Source organism: Homo sapiens, chromosome 1 (assembly GCF_000001405.40).
Source record: "Homo sapiens chromosome 1, GRCh38.p14 Primary Assembly".
Taxonomy (NCBI): domain Eukaryota; kingdom Metazoa; phylum Chordata; class Mammalia; order Primates; family Hominidae; genus Homo; species Homo sapiens.
This window is the reverse complement of record NC_000001.11, coordinates 28,240,800-28,258,562: the sequence shown is the minus strand read 5'-3', so window position 1 is coordinate 28,258,562 and position 17,763 is coordinate 28,240,800. Positions and strand designations below refer to the sequence as shown.

At 45.6% G+C, this 17,763-nt stretch overlaps 4 annotated features.

The window, feature by feature from the left end:
* Positions 7,449-8,322: an enhancer, noted in NCBI's record as "H3K27ac hESC enhancer chr1:28576752-28577625 (GRCh37/hg19 assembly coordinates)". NCBI's record gives its function as "activates a minimal SCP1, AML or CMV promoter by ChIP-STARR-seq in primed H9 embryonic stem cells {active_cell/tissue: H9 hESC(primed)}" and the evidence as "EXISTENCE:reporter gene assay evidence [ECO:0000049][PMID:30033119]".
* Positions 9,961-10,160: an enhancer, noted in NCBI's record as "active region_593". NCBI's record gives its function as "activates an Ori minimal core promoter by ATAC-STARR-seq in GM12878 lymphoblastoid cells {active_cell/tissue: GM12878}" and the evidence as "EXISTENCE:reporter gene assay evidence [ECO:0000049][PMID:35858748]".
* Positions 11,402-11,571: an enhancer, noted in NCBI's record as "active region_592". NCBI's record gives its function as "activates an Ori minimal core promoter by ATAC-STARR-seq in GM12878 lymphoblastoid cells {active_cell/tissue: GM12878}" and the evidence as "EXISTENCE:reporter gene assay evidence [ECO:0000049][PMID:35858748]".
* Positions 12,380-12,879: an enhancer, noted in NCBI's record as "H3K4me1 hESC enhancer chr1:28572195-28572694 (GRCh37/hg19 assembly coordinates)". NCBI's record gives its function as "activates a minimal SCP1, AML or CMV promoter by ChIP-STARR-seq in primed H9 embryonic stem cells {active_cell/tissue: H9 hESC(primed)}" and the evidence as "EXISTENCE:reporter gene assay evidence [ECO:0000049][PMID:30033119]".

Below are 17,763 nucleotides of genomic sequence, written 5' to 3'. Positions count from 1 at the left end.
TTTCCATTTTAAAGTTATTGTTTATTCTAGACAGGGAATCCTGCCAGGGGTGAGGGTGGATAAGACCCCCAAGTCCCCCTCTGAGACTTCTAAGTCTAAGCTTACAATTCCAAAGATGAAACCGACTTGGTTTCCTGCCTCCAGATTCTTGGGAAAAAGAGATTAATCTCACCCTCCCCTGAGCTCCCAAGGCACTTGAGCTGGATCTCTTTTCACATGTATCACATTCTACCTAGTTTTTTTTGTTTTTTGTTTTTTTGTTTTCTGTTTTTTTGTTTTTGTTTTTTGTTTTTTAGTAAATAGAGACAGGGTCTCAATATGTTGCCCAGGCTGGTCTCAAACTCCTGAGCTCAAGCGATTCTCTCACCTCAGCCTCCCAAAGTGCTAGGATTATAGGCATGAGCCACCATGTCCAGCCACATTCTGCCTTGTATTGTAATTTTCTATGTACATGTTTTATCTGACCCTTTTTTCTTTTTATTAGTATTGTTTTTTAGAGATGGGGTCTAGCTCTGTCACCCAGACTGGAGTACAGTGGCATGATCATAGCACGCTGCAGCTTCAAATTCCTGGGCTCAAGCGATATTCCCTCCTCAGCCCCCCAAATCAATCACTGGGGTTACAGGTGTGCACCACTGAGTCTGGCTTATCTGATCTTTTTAATTGTAAACTCCTTGAGGGCAGGGTCAACATCTTTTTTTTTTTTTTTTTTTTTTTTTTAAACAGAGTCGCACTCTGTCTCCCAGGCTGGAGTGCAGTGGCCCGATCTTGGCTCACTGCAACCTCTGCCTCCCAGGTTCAAGCAATTCTCCTGCCTCAGCCTCCTGAGTAGCTGGGATTACAGGCAAGTGCCACCACACCCGGCTAATTTTTGTATTTTTAGTGGAGACAGGGTTTCACCATGTTGATCAGGCTGGTCTCGAACTCCTGACCTTGTGCTCTGCCCGCCTCAGCCTCCCAAAGTGCTGGCATTATAGGCATGAGCCACCGCGCCTGGCTGGCAGGGTCTACATCTTGACATCCATCTCCTGCTCTATGTCACCTAGCAAAATGTCCTGACAATCATATGCCCTTGGTCACGGAATCTTCCTTTGCATCAACTTCCTCTCTAAACTACCCTGTGTCAGCTTCAGCTTTCATTTAAAAAATTTACTATGTGGCCAGGCGTGGTGGCTCACGCCTGTAATCCCAGCACTTTGGGAGGCCGAGGTGGGCGGATCACGAGGTCAGATCAAGACCATCCTGGCTAACATGGTGAAACCCCGTCTCTACTAAAAATACAAAAAATTAGCCAGGCGTGGTGGCGGGTGCCTGTAGTCCCAGCTACTTGGGAGGCTGAGGCAGGAGAATGGCGTGAACCCAGGAGGCAGAGCTTGCAGTGAGCCGAGATCGTGCCACTGCACTCTAGCCTGGGTGACAGAGTGAGATTCTGTCTCAAAAAAAAAAAAAAATTTACTATGTAATGTCAAAGTCCAGATCAAAAGGCTTCACTGGTATTTCATCAGCTACAGAATTAAGATCAAACTCCTTGGGTGGGCATGGTGGCTCACGCCTGTGATCCCAGCACTTTGGGAGGCAAAGGCAGGCAGATCACCTGAGGTCAGGAGTTCAAGATCATCCTGGCCAACATCGTGAAACCCCATCTCTACTAAATATACAAAAATTAGCCAAGCGTGGTGGTGCACGCCTGTAGTCCCAACTACTCGAAAAGCTGAGGCAGGAGAATCGCTTGAACCCGGGAGGCAGAGGTTGCAGTGAGCTGAGATCGTGCCACTGCACGATCTGGGTGTCAGAGCGAAACCCTGTCTCAAAAAAAAAAAAAAAAAAAATCAAACTCCTATCTTAACATTCAAGGTTTGCCAAGATGCACCTAATTTACCCTCCCATTCTTACCACCTGCAACATCCATGTTTCTTGTTTGGCCTTCAAATCTTTCTTTCAGTACTCTTCTTGCAAATCTCTACCCATTGAAATAGTATCCATCATTCAATGCCTTCATTCCTGTTTGTGGCCTGAAGCAAGACTTTAAATGACACCTCCTCCAAAAAGCTCAGCTGAAAGTAATCTCACCCAGTCCTCAACATCTTCAACACATTCTTTTTATCTCTTTCTACCACTGATCTCCAAACTTGGTGTATGCTTGATATCATGTGTATATATCTCACCACTTCCCTCCAACTGATGATAAAAATCTCTCATTGACCACGTGTACAAAGTGAGAAAACTTGAGCTCAGAAAGGTAAAATTGGCCAGGCTTGGTGGCTAACATCTGTAATCCCAGCATCTGGGGAGGCCAAAAGGGAGGATCCCTTGAGCCCAAGAGTTCGAGACCAGCCTGGTCAACATGGAGAAACCCTGTATTCACAAAAACTACAAAAATCAGCAGGGTGTGGTGGCATGTACCTATAATCTCATGTACTTGGGAGGCTGGCCAACATGGTAAAATCCCATCTCTACCAAAAACATAAAAATTAGCCGGGTGTGGTGCGAGAGCCTGTAATCCCAGCTACTCGGCAGGCTGAGGCAAGGGAATAGCTTGAACCTGGGAGATGGAGGTTGCAGATTGTGCCACTGAATCAAAAATAAAAATAAAAATAAAAACAAAAATTGCTTATCAGGGTCACACAGTATCTTCTTTTGACTGCACAAGGCTGTGTTAGAGCACTTTTTTTTTGTTTGTTTGTTTTTTGTGAGACGAAGTGTCCTTCTTGTTGCCCAGGTTGGAGTGCAATGGTGTGATTTCGGCTCACGGCAACCTCCGTCTCCTAGGTGCAAGCAATTCTCCTGCCTCTGCCTCCCGAGTAGCACCACCACGCCCGGCTAATTTTTTATTTTTAGTAGAGATGGGGTTTCTCCATGTTTGTTAGGCTGGTCTTGGACTCCCGACCTCAGGTGATCCACCAGCCTCAGCCTCCCAAAGTGCTGGGATTATAGGTGTGAGCCACGGTGCCCAGCCGGCTGTGCCAATTTCTTAAAATAAGACAATAATAAAGTTGGCCACAAGGATCCACTCTTCCTTCCATGAAAGATTTCTCTGTAGCATGTGATACTGTTTGGTAACATGTTACCTACAGCAGAACTTCTTTCAAAATTGGAGTCAATCTTCTCAAACCCTGCTGCTGCTTTGTCAACTAAGCTTATGTAATATTCTAAATCCTTTGTTGTCATTTCAACAATGATCATAGCATCTTCACAGGAGTAGATTCCATCTCAAGAAACCACTTTCTTTGCTCAGCCATAAGAAGCAACTCCTTAAAGAAACAAAAAAAGAAAAGTCAGCCTGGGCCAACATGGGGAAACCCCGTCTCTACTAAAAATACAAAAATTGGCCAGGCGCAGTGGCTCACGCCTGTAATCCCAGCTCTTTGGGAGGCTGAGGTGGATGGATCACGAGGACAGAAGTTCAAGACCAGCCTGGCCAAGATGGTGAAACCCCATCTCTACCTAAAATGCAAAAAATTAGCCAGGCATGGTGGTGGGTGCCTGTAATCCCAGCTACTTGGGAGGTTGAGGCAGGAGAATCGCTTGAACCCAAGAGGTGGACGTTGCAGTGAGCTGAGATTGCGCTACTGCACTCCAGCCTGGGAAACAAGAGCGAAACTCCATCTCAAACAAAACAAAACAAAACAAAAGAATAAAGAAAAAAAGAATAAAAAGAAGAAGCAACTCCTCATCCATTCGAGTTTTATCCTGAGATTGCAACAATTCAGTCACATATTCAGGCTTTATTTCTAATTCTACTTCTCTTGTTATTTCTTTTTTTCTTTTTGAAGACAGAGTCTTGCTCTGACGCCCAGGCTGGAGTGCAGTGGTGAGATCTCGGCTCACTGCAACCCCTGCCTCCCGGGTACAAGTGATTCTCCTGCCTTAGCCTCCCAAGTAGCTGGGATTACAGGGATGTGCCACCATGCCTGGCTAATTTTTATATTTTTAGTAGAGATGGGGTTTCGCTATGTTGGACAGGCTGTTCTCTTGCTATTTCGAACACACCTACAGTTACTTCCTACATTGAAGTCTTGAACCACCTCAAAGTCATCCATGAGAGTGAAATGAGCTTCTTTCAAACTCCTGTTTATGTTGATTTTTTTGCCTCCTTCTATGGATCACATTTTTTGTTTGTTTTTTGAGGCGGAGTCTCACTCTGTTGCCCAAGCTGGAGTGTAATGGCATGATCTTGGCTCACTGTAGCCTCTGCCTCCCAGGTTCAAGCGATTCTCCTGCCTCAGCCCCCCATGTAGCTGGGATTATAGGTGCGCACCACCACGCCTGGCTAATTTTTGTATTTTTAGTAGAGACGGGGTTTCGCCATGTTGGCCAGGCTGGTCTTGAACTCCTGACCTCAAGTGATCCACTGCATCGGCCTCCCAAAGTGCTGGGATTACAGGCATGAGCCACCACTCCCGGCCTGTTCCATTTATAGAGCACAGGTAGAGTAAATTTAGCATAATTCTTAAAGGCCCTAGGATTTTCAGAATAGTCAATGAGCACTGGCTTAAACTTATAGTCACCAGCTGCATTAGCCCCTAACAAGAGAGTCAACCTGTGCTTTGAAACTTGGAAACCAGGTATTGGCTTCTGTCTCTTTTTTTTTTTTTTTGAGATGGAGTTTCCCTCTGTCACCCAGGCTGGAGTGCAGTGGCACAATCTCGGCTCACTGCAACCTCCACCTCCTGGGTTCAAGTGATTCTCCTGCCTCACCCTCCCTAGTAGATGGGACTACAGGCACATGCCACACGCTCAGCTAATTTTTTGTATTTTTAGTAGAGATGGGGTTTCACTATGTTGGCCAGGATGGTCTCAATCTCTTGACCTCGTGATCTGCCCGCCTCAGCCTCCCAAAGTCCTGGGATTACAGGCATGAGCCACTGCTCCCAACCTGGCTTCTCTTTAGCTATGAAAGTCTTAGATGGCATCTTCTTCCATTACAAGGCTGTTTGTCTACATGGAAAAATCTGTTGTTTAGTGTATCTACCTTCATCAGTTATCTTAGCTAGATCTTCTGGATAACTCACTGCAGCAGCTTCTCCATCAGCATGGGCTGCTTCACCTTGTATTTTTCTGTTATTGAGAAGGCTTCTTTCTTTCAACCTCATGAAGCAAACTATGCTAGGTTTAAGCTTTTCTACAGCAGCTTCCTCACGTCTCTCAGCTTTCCTAGAATTGAAGAGAGTTAGGGCCTTGCTCTGGATTAGGTTTTGGATTAAGGGAATATTGTGGACGGTTTGATCTTCTATCAAAGTCTGAGACCACTCAAACTTTCTTCCTATCAGCAATAAGGCTGTTTGCTTTCTTATCATTCATGTATTTATTGGAGTAGCATTTAAAATTTTTCTTTAAGAATGTTTCGGCCGGGCGCAGTGGCTCACGCCTGTAATCCCAGCACTTTGGGAGGCCGAGGCGGGTGGATCATGAGGTCAGGAGATCGAGACCATCCTGGCTAACAAGGTGAAACCCCGTCTCTACTAAAAATACAAAAAATTAGCCGGGCGCGGTGGCGGGCGCCTGTAGTCCCAGCTACTCGGGAGGCTGAGGCAGGAGAATGGCGTGAACCCGGGAAGTGGAGCTTGCAGTGAGCCGAGATTGCGCCACTGCAGTCCGCAGTCCGGCCTGGGCGACAGAGCGAGACTCCGTCTCAAAAAAAAAAAAAAAAAAAAGAATGTTTCCTGGCCGGGCGTGGTGGCTCACACCTGTAATCCTAGCACTTTGGGAGGCCGAGGTGGGCGGATCACAAGGTCAGGAGTTCGAGACCAGCCTGGCCAATATGGTGACACCCCGTCTCTCCTAAAAATACAAAAATTAGCCAGGCATGGTGGTGGACACCTGTAGTCCCAGCTACTCGGGAGGCTGAGGCAGGAGAATCGCTTGAACCTGGGAGGTGGAGGTTGTAGTGAGCCGAGATCAGGCCACTGCACTCCAGCCTGGGAGACAGAGCAAGACTGTCTCAAAAAAAAAAAAAAAGAATGTTTCCTTTGCATTCACAACTTGGCTATTTGGCTCAAGAGACCTAGCTTTTGGCCTATCTTGGCTTTTGGCACATGTTCTTCACTAAGCTTAATGATTTCTAGCTTTTGATTTAAAATGAAAGACATGCAGCTGGGCTTAGCGGCTCATGCCTACAATCCCAGCACTTTGGGGGGCCATGGCAAGAGAACCGCTTGAGCCCAGGAGTTTGAGACCAGCCTGGGCAACATAGCGAGACTCTGTCTCTACAAAAAATAAGAAAATTGGCTGGGCGCAGTGGCTCACGCTTGTAATCCCAGCACTTTGGGAGGCTGAGGCGGGTGGATCATGAAGACAGGAGTTCAAGACCAGCCTGGCCAAGAGACCAGCCTGGCCAATATGATGAAACCCCGTCTCTACTGAAAATACAAAAATTAGCTCGGCGTGGTGGTGGGCACCTGTAATCCCCGCTACTCAGGGAGGCTGAGGCAGGAGAATTGCTTGAACCCGGGAGGCAGAGGTTGCAGTGAGCCAAAGATCGCGCCATCGCACTCCACCCTGGGGGACAGAGTGAGACTCCAACTCAAAAAAAAAAAAAATAGAAAATTAGCTGGGCTTGGTGGTGCATGCCTGTAATCCCAGCTACTTGGAAAGCTGAGGCAGGAGGATTGCTTGAGCAAGGCACTCCAGCCTGAGTGACACAGCGAAACTCTGTCTAAAATAAATAAATAAATAAATAAAGTGGGTCGGGCTTGATTGATTGCTTGAGCAATGCATTCCAGTCTGGGCGACAGAGCAAGACTCTGTCTCAAAAAAACAAAAAAACAAAAAAATGCATTATCTACAAAGCACAGTAAAGTGCAGCACAATAAAACAAGATATGCCGGCCGGGCACGGTGGCTCACGCCTGTAATCCCGGGACTTTGTGAGGCCGGCCGAGACGGGTGGTTCACGAGGTCGAGATCAAGACCATCCTGGCCAACATGGTGAACCCCGTCTCTACTAAAAATACAAAAAAAAAAATTAGCTGGGCGTGGTGGCGTATCCCTGTAATCCCAGCTACTCAGAAGGCTGAGGCAGGAGAATCCCTTGAACCAGGGAGTCTGAGGTTGCAGTGAGCCAAGATTGCGCCACTGCACTCCAGCCTGGCGACAGAGCAAGACTCCGTCTCAAAACAAAAAGACAAAAAAACAAGATATGCCTGTAGTGAGTCCTTAGTGAATATTTTTGAATGAATGTGTATGAGTTACTCTCCTCTGTTGAATAACTCCTTAGAATCTTTAAGGCAGTCACTAAATCATTCCCAAAGCTTCATTTACATAGTAACTTTGTGAGAAGAAAAAGCAAAAAATTCTTAGAATTTTTTTTTTCTTTTTTGAGACAGTCTCCCTCTACTCACTCTGTCACCCAGGCTGGAGTGCAGTGATGTGATTATAGCTGACTGTAACCTCAAACTCTTGGGCTCAAACTATCCTCCCAAGTAGCTAGGACTACAGGTGTGCACTATGCTGTCCGGCCAATTTCTTTTTATTTTTTGCAGAGACGGGTCTCAGTATGTTAACCAGGCTGGTCTCAAATTCCCAGTCTCAACTTCCTAAAGTGCTGGGATTACAGGTGTGAGCCACTGAACCTGACCCAAAATTCTTTTTTTTTTTTTTTTGAGACAGAGTCTTGCTCTGTCGCCCAGGCTGGAGTGCAGTGGCGCAATCTTGGCTCACTGTAACCACTGCTTCCTGGATTCAAGCAATTCTCCTATCTCAGCCTCCTGAGTAGCTGGGACTACAGGCACATGCCACCACGCCCAGCTGATTTTTGTATTTTTAGTGGAGACGGGGTTTCACCATGTTGGCCAGGCTGGTCTTGAACTCCTGACCTCAGGTAATCCACTCGCCTCAGCCTCCCAAAGTGCTGGGATTACAGGTGTGAGCCACCGCGCCGGCCTTTTTTTTTTTTTTTTTTTAACACAGGGTCTCAGTCTGTCTCCCAGGCTGGAGTACAGTAGCACAATCACTGTTTACTGCAGCCTCAACCTCCCAGGCTCAGGTGATTCTCCCACCTCAGCCTCCCAAGCAGCTGGGACTATAGGTGCACACCACCACACCTGGCTAATTTTTGTATTTTTTGTAGAGACGAGGTGGGGGGTGGGGGGTGGGGCGGTTCACCACGTTGCCCAGGCTGTTATTGAACTCCTGAGCTCAAGCAATCTGCCCATCTCGGCCTCCCAAAGTGCTGGGATTACAGGTGTGAGCCACCACGCCCAGCCTTGATATTATCTTTTGTGACCTGGTCTCCAAAAAAGAAAAGCCAGGAAGAAGCACAGACATTAAGAGTTACTGAGCTCCAGCAAGAATTCAGGATACATCACTGTCTCAGGTAACTCTCACCACAACGTTGTGAAACAGGCTATTGTGTCTCCATTTGACTGATGAGAAAACTGAGACTCAAGAGGTAACACGTCTGGACCAAGGTCAGATAGGTTAGTAATATGCTGAGTAAGGATTCCAACCCAGGCAGGAATGACTCCTATGCAGAAACTCCACCACTCCATTGATGAGACAAACACATGAATATGTAAGAAGCCGGCTGGCAAAAGGAACTGATGCTTAAAGCAGATATATTAATTGGAAGTGAGAAACATAACTGTCAAGCGACCTGTAATTGAGAGGCCAGGGCATTCCTCTTTGTAGGAGAGCCTTTACTGAAAGGCAAATTTATCATCTGAAGGTGGCTAAGGCAGCTGGAATCTGAGCAAGTGAAAGGACGAATTATTGAACTGCTCTACTCAGCAACTATCTGCTGGTCAGGGCTCCAGTTCCTTCCTTCCTTTTTTCATTCAATAAATATTTATTTACCATCTTGTGTGTACCAGGCACTGTGCCTGGCTCTGGGAAATCCAGTGGTGAAGCTAGCAGCCTAGCAGGGCATGGCAGGGTGCCACTGGCTGGGCACATTCCTCCCCTCCCCACTGCCTTGTATTTTTGGTTGGGTAAAGATCTCCTTCTTCTGTTGCCACACTCTCAACTCTTGCATCAGCTATGTTGAGGCCACTGATTGGCCAGCTATTTATATTCCTCAATCACCTTCCAGTCCCAAAGATACACCTACCTAGACTGGATTTGAAATGTTTTTGAGATGTCTTCAGCCTTAGATCCATTTCAGATTATGACCCTAATATGATTGTCATCTGTTCTGTATTCATTCTTCCTGAATTAGTTTTCTAGTCTCAAATTCTGAGATCACTTTACTATAATGACCTTGTAATGGGACCATTCGGGGGGCTGTGATTTATCACCCCAGATGTCATTTTCTGAGCTCTTCTTATTGTTTCCCCCCTCCCCACCCACTAATCTCAGATACAATTCCTGCCCAGGGGGAACTTTCAGGAAAGAAGTTCCACTCCAATTGGTTTGATAAAGCCAAAGAAGACCCATCCTTCAAGGCTTAGTCACACATTAATTCAATTACTCATGAAGCAGGCATTGTGCTAGGTGGGGAGGGAGGTCCTTCCTGCACAGAGCTGACAGGTGCCGAGCTGTCAAGCTACACAACCAAAATTGTCCTTTGGAGTTGTGCATTAGCAGGCAGTACAACCACAGACTCCCAGAAACAAAGCCAACTATCTCCTAAGAGCACTTCCCAGGAGTCAGGCAATTCGGGTGCCAGCTTTTAGCCAAGTAACCCAAACTGAATTTTTTTTTTCCAGCTCTTTGAATCTGTTTCCCTATCTGTAAAACAAAGAAATAGAAATTAGCTCTAAACTTGCAGAGTCATTATGGAGAGAACTGGTGCCATAAAGAACTGGCAGTGTATATAATTCGTCTTCTCGATTGCATACTGAGGACAGAAATCTTCAGGTTTGGAAACGTTTACCCTTCTTAAATGCAAAAACTAACGCACTGGGTGCTTTTGGGCAAATTGCTTGGTTGATTTAGTTTAGTTTTGTCGGCTGAGTGGTTCCTCAACGCCCCCTGCAGGCCAGATCCTGCTATAGCTAAGTCAGAATGGAGTAGGAAAGGGCTGGCCCAAACCGTTTTGAGTTTATAGGATTGTTAGGGTCCATGTCACCGCCTGAAGGTCTTGAAAAGAGGCCAGGCAACAGCTAAGTAAAGGTCTGTGGTTGCTGAAGATTCCCCCTGCTGCCAGCAAGGACCAGAGTCCTAAAATACTTCACAGCCCGAATGCACTTTCCATTGTTTTGGCTTACTACCTCTCTTACAAGGCAGGAAGCCTCAGGTCGAGAGAGAGGAATTTGCCCAAGGTTCCCTAGGAAGTTGGCCACAGAGTGGAGACTAGAATCTCGAGGTCCAGGGCTACCTACACCTTAATAGGCTGCCCCAGGAGAGAAGCCTCACATTTTCAGAAAGAACAACTTCTCCCTTTCCTCTGGTCTCCCTTCCTTCCCCAACCCTCCACTCCTAGAGGCTCTATACATCCTATTCTCAGAGAACCACCCTGAGGCTTGTCCCTGGAGCAACGCCTCTGGCCTCCCACCATCCTGTCCTACCTTTCCCTATCCCCAGCGGAATTCTGTACCCCGACCCCCTCCCTAAAAAGGCCACACTTGGAATCAGGATATCGGAGTTGAAGGTTCCAGTTCCAACCCTTTCTTTGTGAACCTCAGCAAAACACTTCACTTCTCTGAACCCGTTTCCTGTTTTTTTGTTTTTGTTTTTCTTTTATTACGTTTTTGTTTTTCTGAGACAGGTCTCGTTCTGTTGCCCAGGCTGGAGTGCAGTGGCGCGATCATAGCTCACTTAAGTTTGGAGCTCCTGGGTCCTCTCACCTCAGCCTTCCGAGTAGCTGGGTCTACAGGACTGCATGTTAAATGTTAAATGGGGCAATAGTTTACCTCCACCGTTCTATTGTGAGAATGAGAGCTTATGCATGGAAACCCCTTAACAAGGCTTGATGCAGATGAAGTGCTCAATAAACTGTAGATTATCTATATTTTTACTGTTATTTTGAAGGATCTGGCTCAGTGACTGGCTGATAGTGGTGGGTGTTCAAGAAAGGTGCCTACAACCATTAATATTAAAAGTTTGGCGCACATAGCCTGGCATTTAGTTGCAGTTTAATAAACTGTGGCTAGTATTGTTTTTTTGACCCCAGGACGCCCAGTGCGGTTTCAGCGTTAACAACTCCTTAGCGAAAATTGCAGAACAGACTTTTCGCTCAGCAACAGGCTCCTCTTACGTAAACCGCACCGGCCAATGAGCAGGAAGATGGGCGGGGTTTCTTGGCAGCCAATAGTAGCCCGCAGCGGCGCGCAGGATAGGCCCAGGCTGGTTTCCAGGCTGCGTACGGAAACGAATCCCCGGGGCTCTTTGACTGGGGGCGAGTCTTCGAAGTCGCCAGGCTCTGCCTATCAACCGGGTCCTGATTGGTGCAGGCTGTGGCGGTCCGCCCCTGACTCCGTCTAGCCCCGCTCCGCGAGAAGAGGCTGAACTGCCCCATCTGCTTCTAATTTCTTTCTTTCTTTCTTTCTTTCTTTTTTTCCCCTCTTTTCCTTTTCTTCTTTTAAATATACGTTTGGAAATTTGCCGGGCGTGGTGGCGGGCGCCTGTAATCCCAGCTACTCGGGAGGCTGAGGCAGGAGAATCGCTTGAATCCGGGAGACGGAGGTTGCAGTGAGCCGAGAACGCGCCACTACACTCCAGCCTGGACGACGAGAGTGATACTCCGTCTCAGTCAATCAATCAATCAATCAATCGTTTGATTTTCGTTTTATGCTTTTACTTCCAAATTTATATTTATTGCAAAAAATGTGGAATATAACAAAGTGTAAAGGTGAAACTGAAATAACCCGAAATTATATTTCCCCCTCTGTGGTTTTTTTTTTTCCGTCTCTGTGTTTTTCAATGTTTTTCAGGCCTTCTGTCTTGAGCTCGTATTACTGCTGTTCACTGATGTATTGTAAAAGCGTAAAACCGGACGTGACCCAAATGTCTATCAAAGGAGACTGATGAGAGAAATAAACGGATTTGTTCACACAACGGCTTCTACAGCAAAGAAACAGAAGGTAGCTCCAAGTGCTCTGAAATGGAAAGGTATGCAGGATTTCCTGTTAGGTTAAAACAGAACGAAGCAAAAACCGAGGTTGCGCAATGATACATATAGAACAGTCTCATAGTTGTATACATAGTTACACAGAGGAAACAAAGATCTGGAAAGATGTGTAGTTTGCACCTGTTACCATTGGTTAGCTCTGGGGTGGACGGAGAAGGGAGAAGTTTTAAGATTCTTTATATAATACACTTATTTAATATCTATCTATGTGCTAAGTTGTATTACATTTGTTGTTTTTTAAAGAGATCCTTTTAAACAGAGAAGGGAGAACTCCCTCAAATCCCAATTGCACTACAAAGAGAAACCAACATGTTGGTTATTTTTATAGCATATAAGTTTATATACCGTATTAATAATGTATAGCTATATAGCCTGCTTTTTCCACTTAGCACATTTCATAATTTTTGTAATATTAAATATTCCTTAAATATAATTGTTAATGGTTGCAGACTATTCATGTATGCTATAATTTATTAATCCTTATTGAGAACATTTAGGGTTTTCTTCCCAATTTTTCACATATTTCAAGATGAGATAAAACTCTTAAATAATTATATTCCTGATTAATTAAATTCCTAGAAAAATTCGTGAGTTGAAGACTATGAACAAATAAATTTAAGGCTTTTTTTTTTTTAAGAGAGGGAGTATTGCTGTGTTGCCCAGGTTGGTCTCAAACTCCTGGGCTCACATGATCCTCCTGCTTCAGCCTCTGGGGTAGCTGGGACTACAGGCCACTGCACCAGACTTTAACACTCTTGGGCCAGGCACGGTGGCTCATGCCTGTAATCCCAGCACTTTGGGAGGCTGAGGTGGGCGGATCACCTGAGGTCAGGAGTTTGAAACCAGCCTGACCAACATGGGGAAACCCCGTCTCTACTAAAAGTACAAAATTAGCCGGACGTGGTGGCACATGCCTGTAATCCCAGCTACTCGGGAGGCTGAGGCAGGAGAATCGCTTGAACCCGGGAGGCAGAGGTTGCGGTGAGCCGAGATCGCGCCATTGCACTCCAGCCTGGGCAATAAGAGCAAAACTCCATCTCAAAACAAAACAAAACAAAACAAAAAACCCAAAAAACAAAAGACTCTTAATGCTAATTGTAAAACTTTTTTTTTTTTTTTGAGATGGAGTCTCCCTCTGTCGCCCAGGCTGGAGTGCAGTGGGGCTATCTCGGCTCACCACAACCTCCACCTCCCAGGTTCAAGTGATTCTCCTGCCTCAGCCTCTCGAGTAGCTGGGACTACAGGCACGTGCCACTACGCCCGGCTAATTTTTTGTATTTTTAGTAGTGACAGGGTTTCACCGTGTTAGCCAGGATGGTCTTCATCTCCTGACCTCGTGATCTGCCTGCCTCGGCCTCCCAAAGTGCTGGAATTACAGGCGTGAGCCACCACGCCTGGCCGAAACTCTTGAAAGTTTGTTTCTGTGAACATTATTGATGCCTAAGATGGGCCTGTGCTATCCTTGTGGGGGTGTCGGTGTGTGTGAGAACAGAGCTGAGTAATGGCCAAAATCTGGCTGCCAGGATCAGACAGGTGACAAGAGAGGCAAATATAAATAGCTCAGATAAGCAAAGACATCCAAAAATACTCTGACCCAGACACTTCCGGGCACAAAACTCTTTCTGTCTTGCATTGTCCTGGTTGTACTTGGACATGCGATGGGTCAGAATTTGGTTTACTTAATATATATTATTCAGTCTTCTGGGTTTGAAGAATTTACTAAGATTTTAAAATCTCCAATTTATGATTTCCCTTGGAAAACAGGAAGTTCTGGTAACACTGAGACTGCATTCGAGGGTCCCACAAACCAGACTTGGTTTCTCACTTCCCGTAACAGTAACGAATGGAAGACTTGATGATTTACATTACCTGCCTGGCCCCTGTAGCAACTTGAGTTCAAAACTGTTGGACAGGGTCATGATTCCTTAACATGGTATTCAAAGCTTCATGATTGGCTGGGTGCGGTGGCTCACAGTTGTAATCCCACCACTTTGGGAGGCCGAGATGGGTGGACCACTTGAGGTCCAGGTTCGAGACCAGCCTGGCCAACATGGTGAAACCCCGTCTCTACTAAAAATACAAAAAAATTAGCTGGGGTGGTGGCAGATGCCTGTAGTCCCAGCTATTCTGGAGGCTGAGGCAGGAGAATTGCTTGAATCTGGGAGGCGGAGGTGGAAGTGAGCTGAGATTGTGCCACTGCACTCCAGCCTGGGTGACAGGGTGAGACTCTGTCTCAAAAAAAAAAAAGGAAAAAAAAAAAAGCTCCTTGATAGTCTTGTGCTTTCCCCCTTTCATCTTTGTTTCCTTCCACTCTTGCTCACCCTTGCTCACACACACACTTCCTCAAGGTAAAAGTGTAAGGCAGGCAGAATGAGACTTAACAACTAGCATTTCTTATGTCATTATCCAGCCTTTTCTAACTAACACATTTGCTTGTTCACTCATTAACTTGAGGCATTTATTTTTCTTGATAAGACCAGGCCAAAGTCAGCCAATTGGATCAAACCAAATGGAATGGAGTGTCCAGAAGTAGAAATTTTGCTGCTACAGGGTGTGTGCAACTTCACATACAGCTCTTGCCCCTTATTTCCTGTGTCTTTCCTGCTTGCTCACTCTGCTCCAGCTATACTGGTCACTTTGTTGTTCTTTTATTTCTTATTTTAGACAGGTTCTTGCTTTGTTGCCCAGGCTGGTGTGCAGTTGTGCAATCATAGTTCACTGTAACCTCAAACTTCTGGGCTCAGGTGATACTCCTGCCTCAGCCTCTGGAGTAACTGGGACTACATCTGAATGCCATCAAATCCAGCTACTTAAAAAAATTTTTTTTTTTTAGGCCAGGCACGGTGGCTTACGCCTGTAATCCCAGCACTTTGGGAGGCCGAGGCGGGTGGATCACTTGAGGTCGGGAGTTCAAGAACAGCCTGACCAACATGAAGAAACCCCATCTTCACTAAAAATACAAAATTAGCTGGGCGTGTTGGTGTAATTCCAGCTACTTGGGAGGCTGAGGCAGGATAATCACTTGAACCTGGAAGGTGAGGTTGCGGTGAGCCGAGATTGTGCCATTGCACTCCCGCTTAGGCAACAAGACTGAAACTCCTCTCAAAAAAAAAAAGAAGAAAAATTTAAAGATTTTGAGCTGGGCGTGGTGGCTCACACCTGTCATCCCAACACCTTGGGAGACTGAGGCAGGTGTTTCCGTTGAGCTCAGGATTAGGTTTTGGCTTAAGGGAATATTGTGGATGATTTGATCTTTTATCAAAGTTTGAGATCACACAAACTTTCTTCCTGTCAGCAATAAGGCTGTTTTGGTTTCTTATCATTCGTGTAGCATTAAAAATGCTACTCCAATAAAGGCTGGAGTGCAGCGGCATGATGACTGAACTCCTGAGCTCAAGGGATCCTCCCGCCTCAGTCTCCCGAAGTACTGGCATTACAGGCGTGAGCCACTGCACCTGGCCAGCTTCAGACTTTTCTTGTGCAGCCTCCTCACCTCTCTTAGCCTTCTTAGAATTGAAGAGATTTAGGGCTTTTCTCCATATTCGGTTTTGCCTTAAGGGAATGTTGTGGCTTGCTTGATCATCTATCCAGATAACTCAAACTTTCTCCATATCAGCAATAAGGTTGTTTTGCTTTCCTATCATTTGTATGTTCACTGGAGTAGCATTTTTAATGTCCTTCAAGAACTTTTTCTTTGTATTCACAACTTGACTGGTGCAAGAGGCCTAGCTTTTGGCCTATTTCTGCTTTCTTTTTTTTTTTTTTTTTTTTTTTTTTGAGACGGAGTCTCGCTCTGTTGCCCAGGCTGGAGTGCAGTGACACAATCTTGGCTCACTGCAACCTCCACCTCCCGGGTTCAAGCGATTCTCCTGCCTCAGCCTCCCGAGTAGCTGGGACTACAGGCGCGTGCCACCATGCGTGGCTAATTTTTGTATTTTTAATAGAGACGGGGTTTCACCATGTTAGCCAGGATGGTCTCGATCTCTTGACCTCGTGATCCGTCCGCCTCAGCCTCCCTAAGTGCTGGGATTACAGGCGTGAGCCACCACGCCCAGCTGCGGAAGAGATTTTAAAGCTCTCCACATATTTCAGTGTGCCACCTGTGCTAAGAACTACAACTTTATTATTTTATTTTATTTTACTTGTTTTTGAGTTGGAGTCTGGCTCTGTCGCCCAAGCTGGAATGCAGTGGTGCAATCTCGGCTCACTGCAACCTCCGCCTCCTGGGTTCAAGTGATTCTCTTGCCTCAGTCTCCCAAGTAGCTGGACAGGTGTGCGCCACCATGCCTGACTAATTTTTGTATTTTTAGTAGAGACGGGGTTTCACCACATTGGCTAGGTTGGTCTCAAACTCCTGACCTCAGGTGATCCGCCTGCCTCGGTCTCCCAAAGTGCTGGTATTACACATGTGAGGCATTGCGCCCGGCCTGAGAACTACAACTTTAGACTTACTGTTGTGAAAATCTCAAACTAGCCTCTATTGCAAACATGTGTTTGCATCATATAGGCATGCATAGACATGCTGACGGGGTTTATGTTACAGCCAAAAAGCTAATGCCAACACCAACCGCTGGCACTTCTATATTTACTTCCAGGAGCCCTTGCCTTTACCACCCATACCCCGCTACCCATGTACCTCCCACTCCCCCAGATTGAGGAGGGAGCTAGCTAATAGGCAACTGAAGCACTGGATTGGAACTGCAACTCAAGGTTGTGGGAGCAAGAGTTCTGAAGTGAAGACCTTGATCAGCACAAACCTGATCATGTGACCTTGTGAAAGTTACTTCACAATTCCCTGCTTCGGTTACTATGGTTATAAAATTAAACTAATGGAATGGATCTATTTGCTAAAAATATGAGATTTAATGAGCAAATAATTTTAAAGTGCTCCATTAATTCTGCGATTGTTAAATAACTTCACTGCATAAAATTCTATAGAACTCTTTCAAATATATAAAAAAAAGCACCCCAATGATTCTTTTTTTTTTTGGAAACAGGGTCTCACTCTGTTGCCTAGGCTGGAGTACAGTGCCATGATCACAGCTCACTTCAACCTCAGCCTCCCAGGTAGCTGGGACTGCAGGCCTGTACCGCCATTATTATTATTATTATTATTATTTTGTATTTTCTGCAGAAATGGGGTTTGGTCATGTTACCCAGGCTGGTCTCAAGCTCCTGGGATCAAGTGATCCGTCCGCCTTTGCCTCCCAAAGTGCTGGGATTACAGCGGGGAGCCACTGCGCCCAGCCCAGCCAGCCCGATTCTGACCCAGAGGGTTTAGAAGTTGCTTAGACAGATCTGCTCCTGTAAGTTCACAGAACTCCTCTGGCTACTGCTGTCCCTTTTTTTCCTGAGTCTTGTTTGCTGAAATCTTCTTGAGATTCTGTGAGACAATAGCCCCTATTTCTTCCAGTAAATTACTCTTTTTCTTCCCCTTTAGACAGCCAGTGCTGGTTTCTGTTACATGTAAACAAAAAGGATTTTATTTTTTATTTTTTTAGGCTAGTCAAGTGAAGCAGTGGGAGGCGGAGGACAAAAAGAATTTTGACTAAGGCAATAAATATATTATACAAGTGAAGTATTTCCCAAACTGTATTCTGTGGAATGCTGTGTTCTCAAATGTTAACAAGTTCCATACAAGAACCATTTATTTCTAAATTCTAAAGTCACATTCATATTATGAATTATATTAAACATATATAGTTACTTTTATTATACCTAATAATCTGTCTTTATAAAAGTGTTTACCCAAAAATG